Below are 18,964 nucleotides of genomic sequence, written 5' to 3' on the forward strand. Positions count from 1 at the left end.
CTCAATAGATGCAGAAAAAACGTTTGACAGATATCCAACAAACTAGTAACAAAATGGAAATTCCTTGACCTAACAAAGGCCATCGATAAAAACCCACAGATAATATCATACTTAATGGCAAAAGACTGAAAGCTTTCCTCTTTGTATCAGGCAACAGACAAGGAAGGGGGTGTCCACTCTTACCATTTCTATTCAACACTGTACTGAAAGTTCTAGCCATGGCAATCAGGCAAGAAAATAAATGAGAAGACATCCAGATTAGAAAGGAAGAGGTAAAATTATCTCTATTTTCAGATGAAATAGATAAAAAAATCCTAAGAAATACACTAAACCCTATAATTAGAGCTAATAAAGGTGAGCAAAATTGCAGGATACGAGATCAATATACAAAATCACTCTTATTTCTATATATTGGCAACAACTAATCCAAAAGTGTTATTAAAAATAATTCCACTTCAATCAAAAATATTGAGCAATAAATTTAGCAAAAGAAGATTAAGATGTATACATCCTTGAAAGAAATTAAAGATCTAAGTAAACAAAAATATACCCCATGTTCATGGATCAGAAGAATAACTTATTTTTTCCTAGGTTAAAAACAGGACCAGGCACAATGGCTCACGCCTGTAATCCCAACACTTTGGGAGGCCGAAGTGGGTGTATCACTTGAGGTCAGGAGTTTGAGACCAGCCTTGCCAACATGGTGAAACCCATCCCTATAATAAATATAAAAATTAGCCAGGCGTGGTGGTGCATGCCTGTAGTCCCAGCAACTGGGGAGGCTGAGGCAGAAATATCACTTGAACCCGGAAGGCAGAGGTTGTAGTGAGCCGAGATTGCAACACAGCACTCCAGCCTAGGTGACAAGAGTGAGACTCCCCCTCAAAAAAAAAAAAAAAAGTTCCAAATCAGGTAATAGATGAATTTTATAGAACTCATGTTAAGTTTCTTAGATGTAATCAAAGTATTATAAAAGTGATTGTCTTTATTCTTAGGAGAAGTATCATATCCACAACTTACAAATGGTATAGGAAAAAAACTGTTGAACCTATGTGAAGCACATAGGAATATGGATATTCTTACAGTATACTTTCAACATTTCTATTATCTCTGAAAATTTTTGTAACAGGAAGTTGGAGAGCACACTGCCCTGAAAACAAAGCAGTCGCCCAGGGTAGGTGATGATGGCAATGAATACAAAGTGAAGAGATCTAAAAAAGTAATGGTATTTCTAAAACTAGGAATTCATAAAGGTCTTGCAATGTCTACTTGGCATAGTTCAGGCTGAGGTATCTGGCATTATCATGGTTTTGTAGAAGGGTGAAACGTTTCTGGTTTTGGTATTTTTCTGATGATGTTTCCTATGGTTGATCTTTTTGGCCATGGTACATGTGGCTGCTTCTCCCAGGGTACAATTTGTAAAGATTTTCCTAAGCCATTTGTAAATGGTAGCTGAAAACTCCCTATCCTGTAATACAGTTAATTTTCTTATATGTACTTGCATTTGCCTAAAATTAATTTTATTGAAACTCTACTAAGGATACAAAATCATGAAACTTTTGTGTTAATCCTAACATTTGTAAAGCAAAACTCATAAAAAATACAGTAAGGAACTGTGATAAAGAATCTCACATCATTTTTGTGAGAAATTTACTCAGTTGAAGATGAGCAGTGTGTTAACAGACAAAAAGAATTTTTTACAGAATTTGAAAAATATTAAAAAGTTGAATTAGTGCAATCAATGTAATATACAGAGCTACAGAAAGAGAATGTCAAAATATTTTAAAAATTGATAATTTGTTAGACTGAAAGTAAATCTCAATAAAAATATCAGAAACTAAGCCCCATTCTCTGACCACAATTTAATAAAACTAAAAATATGAAAGTGTAAAGCAAAATAAAATGAAATAAACCCTCAAACACCTGAAAAATTTAAAAAGAAAACAAACTTCTAATTTAGGTCACAGAAAAAAGCAAAACGATAATTCCACACTATTGGAAAATAATGGCAATTATAACAACTCATATGCATATCAAATGGAATACAGCCAAAACTATAATGAGAGGCAAATTCATAGATATAAATGTTCCTATCCTAAATGTGAAAGAATGAAAACAAAGTTAAGCATTCCATTTAAAGAGTAAGAAAAAAACCCAAGAAAACCAGAAGGACCAAAAATAAAAGCACCTAATAAATGAAAAAAAGACAAGAAAATAAAACATATCAGATTTTACTTGTCTAAAAAAGAAAAATCTAAAAAATAAATTAGGCTAAGTGAAATATGAAAAAAGAGGAAAATTCAATGTACAAAACTAGAAATATCAAAAAGCATATAAGAAGATACAAAAGATATTAAATTTATGAGAGAAACAAATGACCAAAATTGATGAATAAAGTAAAAACCTAACCAGTGTAAAACACAAAAATTGTCAAAGAATTACCTCCAACAAAGGCTCCAGGCCTAGATGGTTTTGTAGTTGAGTTCTTTAAAACTTTCAAGAATAAATAAGTCCCATGCTATATAAACTGTTCCAGAGCACAGAAAATTAGGGAAAGAGTTCCAATTCATTTTGCAAAGCTGGCCTAACCCTGATATCAAAACCTGACAAAGATAGCATAAAAAAAAAAAGAAAATTACAGACCAAATTCATTTATGAATGTAGATGCAAAGTTCCTAAATAATACACTTGAAAACAGAACTCAATGGTACACTACAAGATAACACGTCTTGACATAAGGAGGACATTCATTCTAGAAATAAGAGATTATATTAGGTATCTTTTTTTTTTTTTTTTTTTTTTTTTGAGACAGGATCTCACTCTGTCACCCAGGTTGGAGTGCATTGGCTTACTGCCGCCTCCACCTCCTGAGCTCAAGCAATCCTCCAACTCAGACTCTCGTATAGCTAGCACTACCGGTGCATGCCACCATGCCCAGCTAATTTTTTGTAGAGACAGGGTCTTGTTTTGTTGCCCAGTCTGGTCTTAAACTTCTGGCCTCAAGTGATCCTCTAGACTTGGCCTCCCAAAGTGTTGGGATTACAGGCATGAGACACTGTGCCCGGCCTATATTAAGTAATATCTTTATAAAATACATCACATTGACAGGTCAAATAAGAAGCACTGCAAAATAATCTCATTTGGATGCCAAAATATTTAATGAATTCCAATATTCACTTCTCATTAAAAAGAAAATAAAGTCTTGTTCAACTATAAGTGATACATACTTAACATCAGTGAACTTACTGTAAGAGGAAATGATGTCTATCACTGCTATATGTAAAATTGGAAGGAAAGTCTATTAAATGTAATAACAAAGTAAAGACAATGAAGAAGATTCACAGGATAAACTATCTAGAAAAGTCAAAAGTAACAACTAAAAATAAGGACTAAACAAAATCCAGTAAATATAAAATGTACAACATAAAAATAACAGAAATCTAGGAAGTTCCTATAAACCAAAACAAATAGTCTTTTTCATATTTATTCATTTTTTCATATTATTCATATTTTTCACAATATGAATAGAAATTACCGAGGATTATGTTAAAGGAGAAAATAAGTGAACTTAATTGAGGGAAAAAAGGGAAAACATTAATGAAGGGCATGAAAGAAACATGTAAATTAAGAAACATATTTCTAGTCTGTAGTTAATTTTTCTAAAATTTTCAGTTAATGTGTTTGAATCAAAATCCCCTTAGAGTTTCCTTTTTTAAAATCAGAAAACTGATTCGCAACTTCCTATAAAAAAAATTAACTGGTCAGAAAATAAAACCAAGGAAACTTGTGAAAAAGAGGTATAAGGAGGAAAGATGGGTCCTGTCAGCTATTTAAACATTTAATAGCTAAAATATCTAAGTAGTATAGTATTACCAGAAGAACAGAGAACATAAAGAAAGAAAATTGAGTCCAGAAGCCTTTAGTAAGGTAACAGTACATTATAGATTAGTGTTAAGACAGAAAAATTATTCAATAAAAAAGCTGGGATAATTAACCATTTAGAAAAAATTAAAATAAGTACCTTATCTAATAGCATTTACTAAAATAAATCACAGATAGACTCAAGGCTTATATATAAAAAATAAAATAAAAAATACCTAGGAAAAATATATGTGAGTATTCAGCAGCTGGTGGCATGGAGTTTTTTCTAAGCATAATAGTAATGTTACAAGCTGTGACAAAAGTGTACAGATCAGACTACTTATTTAAAAATTAACTAAAATTAACAAACAGCAATCTTGAAAAACATTTATGTTTTAATATTTATGTCTTTAATAAATGGACATGTAAAAGGCTAGAACAAACATATCAGAAAGAAATGCATTTAGTGAATAATAAATAACAGTATTTAGCCAGCAATCCCAATTTTGATAATTTACATTAAATTATACAGCCAAGGATGTTCACTGCAGTGCTATTTGCAACTACCCTCTCACCCAAGAACTGCATAAACAGTGGGGCCAAATTTGGTTAAACAACAACAAAAATGTATACATTAAAGAAGGCATTAGAAAAACTATAAGGAAATAAAACCAGATGGTTATTTTCAGATAGTGAGATTACAGGTGCTAAATTTCTTCTTTATACATTTATAACTATTTGCCCAAACTTTCATGATGAATATACATTTTATAATTAGAAAAACAGTATAAAAATCAATGCACTAATAATTTTCCTGAAGACATGAATATTAGAATTCAAAAATTTCAACAAATAAAAAAGCTCAAAATCATTTGTAAACTAAACTGTTTTTGCATACTGAAAGCTCCTTAAAGCTTTTTATTTCTATTAATATCTTAATTTAGCATGAAAACACAGTTAAAAGAAGCCAGTCTTTACTGTCTGAGATTACAACTTCATTTTTTTCCTCAAAGGGATTTTGCTTTTAATGACTATTAAAGGGATTTTGACACAAATACATCTAAATACACTGAAATGAATTATAAAAGGGTCCATACACAACAGGAATAACTTAAAAGGATACTTCATATTAATAACACCATTTCTTTCATTGAGTATTGAGAACACAGAATGATCAGTCTTAAACTGATCCTGTTAAGTTTTTGTTCGGGAAATTTCATTTAGGCACTCTAAACAGGATAATGAGTGCCTAATGATTGTGTGTCTAACTGAAATCTCTCCTGTGATTTAAAACTCTTGTTCTTAAAATATATAGCTATATTCTATTTAGTTTTCTTTAGACAACATAATTGTAAAACTTTTAACTGTTTTCTAATACTTTGATCTACATTTTGCCTTTCTGTAGTGTTTCTACCTTTTTTATCTCTTTCAAATTATTTAAACCCAAATGGCAAATTATGGTTTTAGGCAATGTACAATCAAATAACAGAACAACTTGAAGCTTCTACATGCTGTAATTCTATGGAAACACCAACATTCTTTCTTCCTAGCACATGTCATGTTGTTATGCTGTGTCTCTTACAATAACCATATTATTTGTATGCACGTATACTAACCATATGTAAACTAATTCATACTCTGAGCTGCTTATTTATCTACACCAAGTGGAAGTCCTGGCCAAATAATATTAGCAGTATTTCTAACTACTTGTCCAATGTTTTCTACCCACTCAGTTTGATATTACTCAACTTTAACACGCTTACCTTCTTAACCTATTATGAACTCACTCATGAAATCTGAGTTCTAGTCTTAGATCTGCCCCTCACTAGTTTTGTCACACTGGTAGAGTCACTTAACTTCTCTAGGTTTCAAATGTTTTCATCTATAAAAAGAGGATAGGAACATAGTGGAAGACCTACAAGGTCTGTTACAACACAAATTTTATTATCATTGTCAGAGATCAGGTTCCGCTCTAATCACTCTTACTATAAAATTAGTGCCTACTATGTGGAAATGCTATGGGGGAACACTACAGTAAATAAGTGAAATATTCTTAGTGAAATTTTTTGAACTAAAATACCCAGACTCAGATATTTTGTGTATAGTACTCTATTAATTATCATTAGAATAATTCTCTCCAATTCCATGAACAGAACTGGCATTTCTTTCCTAATCATGCTATTATAAAAACTCTCCCTTACCTACTACTGCCTTTTTAAATTGTAGCCTATCTAAATCACTTTCTTTTTTTTTTTTTTTTACTTTCTTTTTTTTTTTTTATTATACTTTAAGTTTTAGGGTACATGTGCACATTGTGCAGGTTACTTACATATGTATACATGTGCCATGCTGGTGCACTGCACCCACTAACTCGTCATCTAGCATTAGGTATATCTCCCAATGCTATCCCTACCGCCCTCCCCAACAACAGTCCCCAGAGCGTTATATTCCCCTTCCTGTGTCCATGTGATCTCATTGTTCAATCCCCACCTATGAGTGAGAATATGCAGTGTTTGGTTTTTTGTTCTTGCGATAGTTTACTGAGAATGATGTTTTCCAATTTCATCCATGTCCCTACAAAGGACATGAACTCATCATTTTTTATGGCTGCATAGTATTCCATGGTGTATATGTGCCACATTTTCTTAATCCGGTCTATCATTGTTGGACATTTGGGTTGGTTCCAAGTCTTTGCTATTGTGAATAATGCTGCAATAAACATACGTGTGCATGTGTCTTTATAGCAGCAAGATTTATAGTCCTTTGGGTATATACCCAGTAATGGGATGGCTGGGTCAAATGGTATTTCTAGTTCTAGATCCCTGAGGAATCGCCATACTGACTTCCACAATGGTTGAACTAGTTTACAGTCCCACCAACAGTGTAAAAGTGTTCCTATTTCTCCACATCCTCTCCAGCACCTGTTGTTTCCTGACTTTTTAATGATCGCCATTCTAACTGGTGTGAGATGGTATCTCATTGTAGTTTTGATTTGCATTTCTCTGATGGCCAGTGATGATGAGCATTTCTTCATGTGTTTTTTGGCTGCATAAATGTCTTCTTTTGAGAAGTGTCTGTTCATGTCCTTCACCCACTTTTTGATGGGGCTGTTTGTTTTTTTCTTGTAAATTTGTTTGAGTTCATTGTAGATTCTGGATATTAGCCCTTTGTCAGATGAGTAGGTTGTGAAAATTTTCTCCCATTCTGTAGGTTGCCTGTTCACTCTGATGGTAGTTTCTTTTGCTGTGCAGAAGCTCTTTAGTTTAATTAGATCCCATTTGTCAATTTTGGCTTTTGTTGCCATTGCTTTTGCTGTTTTAGACATGAAGTCCTTGCCCATGCCTATGTCCTGAATGGTAATGCCTAGGTTTTCTTCTAGGGTTTTTATGGTTTTAGGTCTAACATTTAAGTCTTTAATCCATCTTGAATTGATTTTTGTAAAAGGTGTAAGGAAGGGATCCAGTTTCAGCTTTCTACATATGGCTAGCCAGTTTTCCCAGTACCATTTATTAAATAGGGAATCCTTTCCCCATTGCTTGTTTTTCTCAGGTTCGTCAAAGATCAGATAGTTGTAGATATGCGGCATTATTTTTGAGGGCTCTGTTGTGTTCCATTGATCTATATCTCTGTTTTGGTACCAGTACCATGCTGTTTTGGTTACTGTAGCCTTGTAGTATAGTTTGAAGTCAGGTAGTGTGATGCCTCCAGCTTTGTTCTTTTGGATTAGGATTGACTTGGCGATGCGGGCTCTTTTTTGGTTCCGTATGAACTTTAAAGTAGTTTTTTACAATTCTGTGAAGAAAGGCATTGGTAGCTTGATGGGGATGGCATTGAATCTGTAAATTACCTTGGGCAGTATGGCCATTTTCACGATATTGATTCTTCCTACCCATGAGCATGGAATGTTCTTCCATTTGTTTGTATCCTCTTTTATTTCCTTGAGCAGTGGTTTGTAGTTCTCCTTGAAGAGGTCCTTCACATCCCTTGTAAGTTGGATTCCTAGGTATTTTATTCTCTTTGAAGCAATTGTGAATGGGAGTTCACTCAGGATTTGGCTCTCTGTTTGTCTGTTGCTGGTGTATAAGAATGCTTGTGATTTTTGTACATTGATTTTGTATCCTGAGACTTTGCTGAAGTTGCTTATCAGCTTAAGGAGATTTTGGGCTGAGACAATGGGGTTTTCTAGATATACAATCATGTCGTCTGCAAACAGGGACAATTTGACTTCCTCTTTTCCTAATTGAATACCCTTTATTTCCTTCTCCTGCCTGACTGCCCTGGCCAGCACTTCCAACACTATGTTGAATAGGAGTGGTGAGAGAGGGCATCCCTGTCTTGTGCCAGTTTTCAAAGGGAATGCTTCCAGTTTTTGCCCATTCAGTATGATATTGGCTGTGGGTTTGTCATAGATAGCTCTTATTATTTTGAGATACGTCCCATCAATACCTAATTTATTGAGAGTTTTTAGCATGAAGGGTTGTTGAATTTTGTCAAAGGCTTTTTCTGCATCTATTGAGATAATCATGTGGTTTTTGTCTTTGGCTCTGTTTATATGCTGGATTACATTTATTGATTTGTGTATATTGAACCAGCCTTGCATCCCAGGGATGAAGCCCACTTGATCATGGTGGATAAGCTTTTTGATGTGCTGCTGGATTCGTTTTGCCAGTATTTTATTGAGAATTTTTGCATCAATGTTCATCAAGGATATTGGTCTAAAATTCTTTTTTTGTTATGTCTCTGTCAGGCTTTGGTATCAGAATGATGCTGGCCTCATAAAATGAGTTAGGGAGGATTCCCTCTTTTTCTATTGATTGGAATAGTTTCAGAAGGAATGGTACCAGTTCCTCCTTGTACCTCTGGTAGAATTCGGCTGTGCATCCATCTGGTCCTGGACTCTTTTTGGTTGGTAAGCTATTGATTATTGCCACAATTTCAGATCCTGTTATTGGTCTATTCAGATATTCAACTTCTTCCTGGTTTAGTCTTGGGAGAGTGTATGTGTCAAGGAATTTATCCATTTCTTCTAGATTTTCTAGTTTATTTGCGTAGAGGTGTTTGTAGTATTCTCTGATGTTAGTTTGCATTTCTGTGGGATTGGTGGTGATATCCCCTTTATCATTTTTTATTGCATCTATTCGATTCTTCTCTCTTTTTTTCTTATTAGTCTTGCTAGCGGTCTATCAATCCTGTTGATCCTTTCAAAAAACCAGCTCCTGGATTGATTAATTTTTTGAAGGGTTTTTTGTGTCTCTATTTCCTTCAGTTCTGCTCTGATTTTAGTTATTTCTTGCCTTCTGCTAGCTTTTGAATGTGTTTGCTCTTGCATTTCTAGTTCTTTTAATTGTGATGTTAGGGTGTCAATTTTAGATCTTTCCTGCATTCTCTTGTGGGCATTTAGTGCTATAAATTTCCCTCTACACACTGCTTTGAATGCGTCCCAGAGATTCTGGTATGTTGTGTCTTTGTTCTCCTTGGTTTCAAAGAACATCTTTATTTCTGCCTTCATTTCATTATGTACCCAGTAGTCATTCAGGAGCAGGTTGTTCAGTTTCCATGTAGTTGAGTGGTTTTGAGTGAGATTCTTAACCCTGAGTTCTAGTTTGATTGCACTGTGGTCTGAGAGACAGTTTGTTATAATTTCTGTTCTTTTACATTTGCTGAGGAGAGCTTTACTTCCAAGTATGTGGTCAATTTTGGAATAGGTGTGGTGTGGTGCTGAAAAAAATGTATATTCTGTTGATTTGGGGTGGAGAGTTCTGTAGATGTCTATTAGGTCCGCTTGGTGCAGAGCTGAGTTCAATTCCTGGGTATCCTTGTTGACTTTCTGTCTCATTGATCTGTCTAATGTTGACAGTGGGGTGTTAAAGTCTCCCATTATTAATGTGTGGGAGTCTAAGTCTCTTTGTAGGTCACTCAGGACTTGCTTTATGAATCTGGGTGCTCTTGTATTGGGTGCATATATATTTAGGATAGTTAGCTCTTCTTGTTGAATTGATCCCTTTACCATTATGAAATGGCCTTCTTTGTCTCTTTTGATCTTTGTTGGTTTAAAGTCTGTTTTATCAGAGAATAGTATTGCAACCCCTGCCTTTTTTTGTTTTCCATTTGCTTGGTAGATCTTCCTCCATCCTTTTATTTTGAGCCTATGTGTGTCTCTGCACGTGAGATGGGTTTCCTGAATACAGCACACTGATGGGTCTTGACTCTTTATCCAATTTGCCAGTCTGTGTCTTTTAATTGGAGCATTTAGCCCATTTACATTTAAAGTTAATATTGTTATGTGTGAATTTGATCCTGTCATTATGATGTTAGCTGGTTGTTTTGCCCGTTAGTTGATGCAGTTTCTTCCTAGTCTTGATGGTCTTTACATTTTGGCATGATTTTGCAGCAGCTGGTACTGGTTTTTCCTTTCCATGTTTAGCCCTTCCTTCAGGAGCTCTTTTAGGGCAGGCCTGGTGGTGACAAAATCTCTCAGCATTTGCTTGTCTGTAAAGTATTTTATTTCTCCTTCGCTTATGAAGCTTGGTTTGGCTGGATATGAAATTCTGGGTTGAAAATTCTTGTCTTTAAGAATGTTGAATATTGGCCCCCACTCTCTTCTGGCTTGTAGGGTTTCTGCCGAGAGATCCGCTGTTAGTCTGATGGGCTTCCCATTGAGGGTAACCCGACCTTTCTCTCTGGCTGCCCTTAACATTTTTTCCTTCATTTCAACTTTGGTGAATCTGACAATTATGTGTCTTGGAGTTGCTCTTCTCGAGGAGTATCTTTATGGCGTTCTCTGTATTTCCTGAATCTGAATGTTGGCCTGCCTTGCTAGATTGGGGAAGTTCTCCTGGATAATATCCTGCAGAGTGTTTTCCAACTTGGTTCCATTCTCCCCATCACTTTCAGGTACACCAATCAGACGTAGATTTGGTCTTTTCACATAGTCCCATATTTCTTGGAGGCTTTGCTCATTTCTTTTTATTCTTTTTTCTCTAAAATTCCCTTCTCGCTTCATTTCATTCATTTCATCATCCATCGCTGATACTCTTTCTTCCAGTTGATCGCATCGGCTCCTGAGGCTTCTGCATTCTTCACGTAGCTCTCGAACCTTGGTTTTCAGCTCCATCAGCTCCTTTAAGCACTTCTCTGTATTGGTTATTCTAGTTATACATTCTTCTAAATGTTTTTCAAAGTTTTCAACTTCTTTGCCTTTGGTTTGAATGTCCTCCCGTAGCTCAGAGTAATTTGATCGTCTGAAGCCTTCTTCTCTCTGCTCCTCAAAGACATTCTCCATCCAGCTTTGTTCCGTTGCTGGTGAGGAACTGCGTTCCTTTGGAGGAGGAGAGGCGCTCTGGTTTTTAGAGTTTCCAGTTTTTCTGTTCTGTTTTTTCCCCATCTTTGTGGTTTTATCTACTTTTGGTCTTTGATGATGGTGATGTACAGATGGGTTTTTGGTGTGGATGTCCTTTCTGTTTGTTAGTTTTCCTTCTAACAGACAGGACCCTCAGCTGTAGGTCTGTTGGAATACGCTGCAGTGTGAGGTGTCAGTGTGCCCCTGCTGGGGGGTGCCTCCCAGTTAGGCTGCTCAGGGGTCAGGGGCCAGGGACCCACTTGAGGAGGCAGTCTGCCCGTTCTCAGATCTCCAGCTGCGTGCTGGGAGAACCACTGCTCTCTTCAAAGCTGTCAGACAGGGACATTTAAGTCTGCAGAGGTTACTGCTGTCTTTTTGTTTGTCTGTGCCCTGCCCCCAGAGGTGGAGCCTACAGAGGCAGGCAGGCCTCCTTGAGCTGTGGTGGGCTCCGCCCAGTTGGAGCTTCCTGGCTGCTTTGTTTACCTAATCAAGCCTGGGCTATGGCGGGCGCCCCTCCCCCAGCCTCGCTGTCGCCTTGCAGTTTGATCTCAGACTGCTGTGCTAGCAATCAGTGAGACTCCATGGGCGTAGGACCCTCTGAGCCAGGTGCGGGATATAATCTCGTGGTGCGCCGCTTTTTAAGCCCGTCGGAAAAGCGCAGTATTCGGGTGGGAGTGACCCGATTTTCCAGGTGCCGTCCGTCACCCCTTTCTTTGACTCGGAAAGGGAACTCCCTGACCCCTTGCGCTTCCCAAGTGAGGCAATGCCTCGCCCTGCTTCGGCTGGCGCACGGTGCACGCACCCACTGACCTGCGCCCACTGTCTGGCACTCCCTAGTGAGATGAACCCAGTACCTCAGATGGAAATGCAGAAATCACCGTCTTCTGCGTCACTCAGGCCGGAGCTGTTCCTATTCGGCCATCTTGGCTCCTTCCCCGCTAAATCACTTTCTTTTATCTCTGTTGCTCTCTACTGAACTGTAAATTAATTGCTCAAAATTGGAGTTCTCACTACTCCTCCCAAACAATGTGATGTTTTGGGTCTCTTTTGTTTAAAAAATCCTTTAACTTTTTTTAGAAAAAAAATCATAAGAATTTATGGGAATCTTTGAAAAAGATTTCAAGGAAAAATTCAAATATTATAGGAAAACATAACCATGTCTTGCCAAAGGCAGAAAACTTTTAGGAATATAAGGACTGCTTTCATGGGCCAGGATCACTCTTCCGCAAATGCAGCATGCTCTCTCTAAGGTATCATGAAGGGTGGTGCAGATTAAAGTCATCACTTCAAAAATTATATGAATACTCTGTATTCCCTCATTAGTCTGTTATGGAATTGTCACACATTTATTTGCCCAATGTGCCTTTTGGAAAACCAGCAAGACATCTTTGGATAATTAGTCCTTTAACATTCCCTACTTGAGACAACTTTTAGAATTTTAGAGCTAAAAGAAACCTCAGTTTGGGCAATGGTAAAACTCTTTCTCTACAAAAAACAAAAACAAAAGTTAGCCAGGCATGGTGATGCATGCCCATAGTGTTAGCTACTCAGAGGGCTGAGGCAGGAGGATCGCTTGAGCCCTGGGGGTGGGGGTGGGAGTGGGAGTTAAAGCTGCAGTGAGCTGTGATCGTGCCATTGCACTCCAGCCTAGGTGACAAGAGTTAAACCCTGTCTCAAAAAACAAACAAACAAACAAACAAAAAAACCAAAGAAACCTCATACATCTTCAACTGCCTCATTTTATAGATGAACCAACTGACAAAGACTGGTTAAAATGCTTGCCTATGTCACACAAGTTTAATGGCAGAATCTATTCTCTTGATCTTCAATCCAGAGTTTCAACATATCATACAAGTTTACCTGATTTCTATAACCTTTTACTGAATTCAAATTTGCTTCTTTGAAGTTTCGGAGGGGTCTATTTTAACTAACTTGAATTTAATGAAGAATCTATGCTTACTCTAAATATATATATATATATATATGCATATATGCTGAATAAGGGCAAGGGCTGTGACTGTTTACAATTGTATCCTGAGAACTTATCACAGGGTCTGGCATATAGGTATTCAATGGATTGTTGTAGACTGAATGAATGAACAAGTTGGATCACATGCACTCTCAGTTTTAACCTTTGTAAAGAGAAAATAAATCTAGAGTCCTTCAGTTTAACTTTGTTCTCTTGATCATTTCAGATATTTTTATCTAGACTTTCTTCTAGCTCCATTATGTTTCTTTTGGTGAGGTAGTAAGAACTGTGAATAGATACCAATAATCTCAATAAGTACAATTTCCTTCGCATTACCTTACACTGGTTAGCAATAGCACTTATTTGACACTTTTTGCCCCAAATTTGTAAGTACAACACATTAATTCTTGTTGGTCTGACCTTTCAATATGCCCTCAAATTTGCTTTTATTTACTCTGCTGGAATAAATTCCTCCTTCCAAATCAATTATAAAAATGTTAAACGAGACTATATTTAGCACCTATTAACCTTTTTCTAACCAGAAGGGCTCATCAGCCTCTGTATTTTTGTATCCTGGATTTAAATAAATTGTAAATACAACCAAATTTGAGTGTCTAACATGTGCAAGGACAACTCTCTTGTCCTTGATAAATAATATACAATATTCTTTGGTATGGAGAAGAATTAGAAGACTTTTAGATTCATGAAAAGGGCCTTTAAAAAGTCCAAGTAAAAAATCATGTTTTAGTTTCGCCTTATGTATTGATTTATTTATTGCCTTCCACTCTCTAACCCCAGATACACACTCCTATCATACCTAAGAATTCTATAGGAATCCTTTTATTCACCAATCCTACACCACTGTCCTTGCACTCTCTGACCTCCCTCCTGTCATCCTGAAGAACTCTACAGAAATCCTTTTATTCATTAATCCTGCCCCCCTTTATTATAAATGCTACTACAGAAGCTTAGAGCTGGAATGAATCTTAAGAGATTTCTAAGTGTAATTCCCATATACCAGCTTGATATTCACCAATAATAAAACAAATCACTATGGCCAAGTATAGTATTTTACCTCTTTAATATATCAGCATGCCATATTACACATACTACTTACTTGTACTCATCATAGACTTCCTGTTTGGGCAGTGAAGTCTCCGGATGTTCCTCTAGGGTATTCCGAATCCAGGAAAAGGCATGCATTTGTTGTGCCCGACTAGATGACATGGCATTCTGATCACTAATAGAATGAAAACATGTTTTAGCTGACCAGACAGCAATTCATTAACGATTTTTGAGCTAGGCCTAAATGTTCCACTAAAGAACTGTATACAAATACACTATCAACGACCAAACCAAACTTAGGACATCTAGTAGATAATTGTCCACCTATGGTTGTGAGCTGTTTGCTATAGCTAGTGTAAGACTGAAGTTACTGCCCTGCTCCATCCCTCCCCATGCAGGTGATAGAGCACTGACAAAGTATTTGTTTTGGTCAAAAATCACCTTTAAGTGGGTATCTGCTCATGTACTTACCTGTTCATTTGCCTACACTTACCAAATAAATCATCAAACTTTAAAACAAAATTATATAAAAATTGCTTATTTCTATTTGCTCAGCATTCTCATATAATATATATATATACACACATATATATATACACATGTATACACATACATATACATATATACATACACACACACACACACACACATATATATGTATATATAACTACTTGGAAATCTTACTAAAGCATTCTGTGCTCCAGAATGGAATTTGCACCAGAGAGATCCTGAACAGACAAATCTCCCCCTACAATCCTTCCTAAAGCCAGGCCCCCTGCCTCAGCCTGACATATCCATTAAACACTGTAAACTTTTACTATATGGAAGTATTACTTATAAATAAATACCGAAATGGACACCAAAGATAGGACAAGGGAAGCTACTCTACTGATTGTGACATCCATCTCAGCTATCTGTAAGAATAATTTATTTAATTTCAAAGAAAACACTGAGCAAGTGTCTAGGACATAACATGATTAAAACAGTGATAAAAGTTGGTCTGAGGGAAAAAAAGATAAAACTCAAATAATTTGCATTTCATTTATTTCTATATACAGTTTTAAAAAATAGAATGATAAGCATAATTTATATGAATGAGATGAATTCTGAGAAATACTTAAAAGGTTAAGGAAACTCTTTTAAAAATTAGAATGACTGAATGAACAGCTTCTCTCCACAGTTTCTATAATTTTTAATGATGAAACTATAGTAATACCCCAAGCACTTAACACACCTTACATTTATGAATTCATGTTTCATACAGGCAATTTCACTTTATTTTCTGTTTTATATTCTATGATGTGTTTATCTGATAGTACCTAAAAAAACTCTTATACCTTATTCCTTATGATACTTATCTGTTTATTCTTTGGTTTTCTGTTCAATTTTCACAATCCCTCACACTGCATAAACATAGTCATCTGTCTATGAAACAAAACCCAAATTGCATGTCATAGCATTTACCCAATTGCACAAATAAATTAACAAAAACTGCAAGTAAATACTTAACCAAATATCACCAAAGACTAAAATGATGTATTGTTTTGCCAGTATGTTTTCTAATCATTTCAGGAATATTGCAAAAACTCTAACAACCAAAACATACAGACCTCACATATATCCTAGGGACATCCTATAAACAGCATAATTATAGCAAAGACAAGAATAGATATACCTTTTCTCTCCATTGCTGAGACCAGAAGGCAGCTGAAGGTAGAGGTAGAGTTTCTCTAGGTCTGTAAACTTCTCAACTTCTTGCTATTTACAAAGGATTAAAAAGAAAGATCATTTTTAAAAAACACTCATTTTTCCCCAAACAAAATTTACTAACATCTCCCTAAACGATAATGACTATTTAAATTTAAAACAGATGAATCATCTGTCTTTTCTCATCACTAAAATAATACAATGAGGTTATTTGATAAATTTATTGCATACAAAAATTTAATAAAAGAAAATGGCACTTCCCTATTAGTTCTTACATCATGGGCATAAATAGAATTATTGACCAAGGCTCAAAAAAAGCTTCTCATTTTTAATCACATTTAAAGAAGGAGGGTTTTACTTGTCCTATAGGACAAGTACTGGACCAGGAATCAAGAGAAACAGTTATTAGTTAACTAACCGTTAACTGGCTATGAGGTTTTCAGCACTTTTACAGCAAATTTTCTGTAGAACTATAAAATGAATGACATAATTTCTAGAATCCGTTTCTAATTTTCAAATATTTACAACATGTGACTGATGGTGCTACTGTTACCTGTGGATGGAACTGAGGTTAAAAACACTGAAATAAAACCAGTAACTCTTTCCAGACCTTACAGATGTAATTATTTGTTGGCTTGCCAACAGTAGCTATTTAGAGAATCTACTTGTAAGATTTTCTGTTGCTACTGTTCTGCAACTATGTCATTTTGTCTCTAAATGTAACCTTTAAAATAATTTTTGCCTTCCTACCTTTCTTCTAAACTCAGTTTGCCATAATGGCTCCAAATGTGCCACAAATCCTATTATAATAAAAATATTCATAGTAAAATTCTGGTAGCCTAATCTAAGCAAAATTCCATTGCAATGAAAAATGTGGACAGATTACTGGCATTCCTGGTAGAATTTATTCTTACTTAATAAAGCACAGTTTAAACAGAGATTCAGTTTTTGAAAATACTTAACATGATATAACCAAGCCTATTCTTAGTCTTATCAGAAGATATCCACAAAAGTTTAATCTTAGAATCCATCCACATAATGATTTAATCAATCACATGCAAATAGCTCCCAAATTTACATTTTTAAAATCCCATGGCCTACAGGTATTTTCCAATTGGCTCTTGCTCCAATACCTAATGTTATCAGCTATACCCTTGTGTAGCTCTCCCCTCAAAGAAAACAAACACACATTCTCTTCTTAATTGCTACTTATCATCACCTTCTTTTCTCTAGTTTCCACAGTGTTCAGTTTGGGAGTGTGTTTAACTCTTTTTCTCTTGGTGCATTCCACATTAATCCTTTATTTAGCCCTCTAACACTCTGCCCCATCTTCTTCCAGTCTCGATTTTTCACTGCCACCACAGTAGTCTAGGTCTTCAGCTGTCTTTCTTTCAAGAATAAGGATAATTCGTTTGCTTATGCATTACTTTTGTTTTCTGCTATGTTCCACAAGTGGCATAAAATAACTATGAACCTATACTATGTATCACAAATCATACAAAGAGTGAACAATACAACAAAGATGAACAACACACCACCACCACAGTTCTTGCCCTTAATGAACTTTTAATGACACTTAAATTTCTAAAATGTCTAACCAGCTGGTTTTCCTACCTCCGATGTCACCCCACTTTAATGTCTTAAATATGGTTCCTGAAATTTTTTTTTGTCAAATTGTTTTTTTTAAGAGAGTCTCACTCTGTTGCCCAGATTGAATTGCAGTGGCTTAATCATAGCTCACTGCAGCCTCAAACTCCTGGGCTCAACTGATCATCCCACCTCAGCCTCCCAAGTAGTTGGGGCCAGAGGTGCGTGCCACCACAGCCACATAATTTTTTAATTTATTTTTTGTAGCTTGTTGCTACAAAATTGTTGCCTAGGCTGGTCTGGAATTCCTGCCTGGCCTCAAGTGATCCTCCTGCCTCCCAAAGTGCTGGGATGCTAGGTATGAACTACTGTCAAATATTATTAACATCACCCACTTAATCACACCAATGCCAATCATATTAAATTAAGAGAAGGTTATAATAATAAAATACCTAATATTATGAGCCATGTCTGAGAAAGTGTAATAAAAATATCATTTTTGATCATAAAGAAAAAAATCTACTGTTGGAGAAACCTTGGATTCTATATAGCTTTCAAATTTTAAATATACTGGAAAAAAGAATAGAAAAGAAATTCCAGAACATAGAAGAAATTTCAGAAGATGTTCTAAATTAGTATTAAGCACCAAAGAGATGATTTAGAAGATGGCAAAAAAAAGTTTTGAAAAAGATTAAAGTCAGTGTCCTAATTTTTTTTAAAACAATGAAAACTTGTAACTGTTCAATTACTGTTTTCATTGCCATATGGGGTACAACACATAGAAGAAAAAATTTGGAGAGCAGCATGAAAACTGATAATAACAAAATTCTATAAAGCAAACAAAAAAAATGACTCAAGTGTATAGTGATGGCATTTCAGTCCAGCAAGGCTGGGCTCATCATCAAGATTTCTGGTTTTGGATATACTGTGTCATCCACTGCTAATTAGTGGCTTCTGAAACAATGCTCACTGGTTTAGGAGAAGACCCTAACCTTGCTTGATTGTCAAGGCAAGAGTATCATGTGGCAAGTATGTTAAACATCTGATTATTTGATATGCTTTATGACAATTTAAATGATAAGAATTAAAAGTTTTCTGTTCTATGTTGAAATTCGTTGGTGGTCAAAAAAAATTCCTTTGGCTGGATTTATAAAATAAATCATAATGGTATTCTATTTTTGGAGCACCAGAGAAAAGACCAACTTCATAAACTTTAAAAATTATAATTTTTTATTTAGCCATAAAAGGAATGGAGTACTGATACATGCTACAACATGGATGAACCTTGAAAACATCGTGCTAAGTGAAAGAAGCCAGACACATATCATGTGATTCTGTTTATATTAAATATCCAAAATAGGCAAATCCCTAGGGACAGAAAGCAGCTTAGTGTTTCCCAGAGGCAGATGACTGCTTAAAGGGTACTGAGTTTCCTT

At 35.7% G+C, this 18,964-nt stretch overlaps 1 protein-coding gene across 9 annotated transcripts in view, besides 2 other annotated features; it reads right to left on the reverse strand.

Annotated features, from left to right (window-relative positions):
- Positions 1-18,964, reverse strand: part of RFX7 (regulatory factor X7) — a 157,803-nt gene that overhangs the window by 41,212 nt on the left and 97,627 nt on the right. For 8 of the 9 annotated variants that reach the window (NM_001370561.1, XM_047432948.1, NM_001368073.2 and 5 more), the window contains 2 exons: positions 15,910-15,992; positions 14,287-14,409 (listed from right to left, as the gene is read on the reverse strand). In NM_001370561.1, coding sequence (NP_001357490.1) covers positions 14,287-14,409; positions 15,910-15,992 — 206 coding nt within the window. Of the gene's footprint in view, positions 1-14,286; positions 15,660-15,909; positions 15,993-18,964 lie in introns of all 9 variants that reach the window. The other variant, XM_047432949.1, reaches the window with a different exon arrangement.
- Positions 11,255-11,864: an enhancer, noted in NCBI's record as "NANOG-H3K27ac-H3K4me1 hESC enhancer chr15:56431944-56432553 (GRCh37/hg19 assembly coordinates)". NCBI's record gives its function as "activates a minimal SCP1, AML or CMV promoter by ChIP-STARR-seq in naive and primed H9 embryonic stem cells {active_cell/tissue: H9 hESC(naive and primed)}" and the evidence as "EXISTENCE:reporter gene assay evidence [ECO:0000049][PMID:30033119]".
- Positions 11,865-12,473: an enhancer, noted in NCBI's record as "NANOG-H3K27ac-H3K4me1 hESC enhancer chr15:56432554-56433162 (GRCh37/hg19 assembly coordinates)". NCBI's record gives its function as "activates a minimal SCP1, AML or CMV promoter by ChIP-STARR-seq in naive H9 embryonic stem cells {active_cell/tissue: H9 hESC(naive)}" and the evidence as "EXISTENCE:reporter gene assay evidence [ECO:0000049][PMID:30033119]".

Source organism: Homo sapiens, chromosome 15 (genome assembly GCF_000001405.40).
Source record: "Homo sapiens chromosome 15, GRCh38.p14 Primary Assembly".
NCBI lineage: Eukaryota > Metazoa > Chordata > Mammalia > Primates > Hominidae > Homo > Homo sapiens.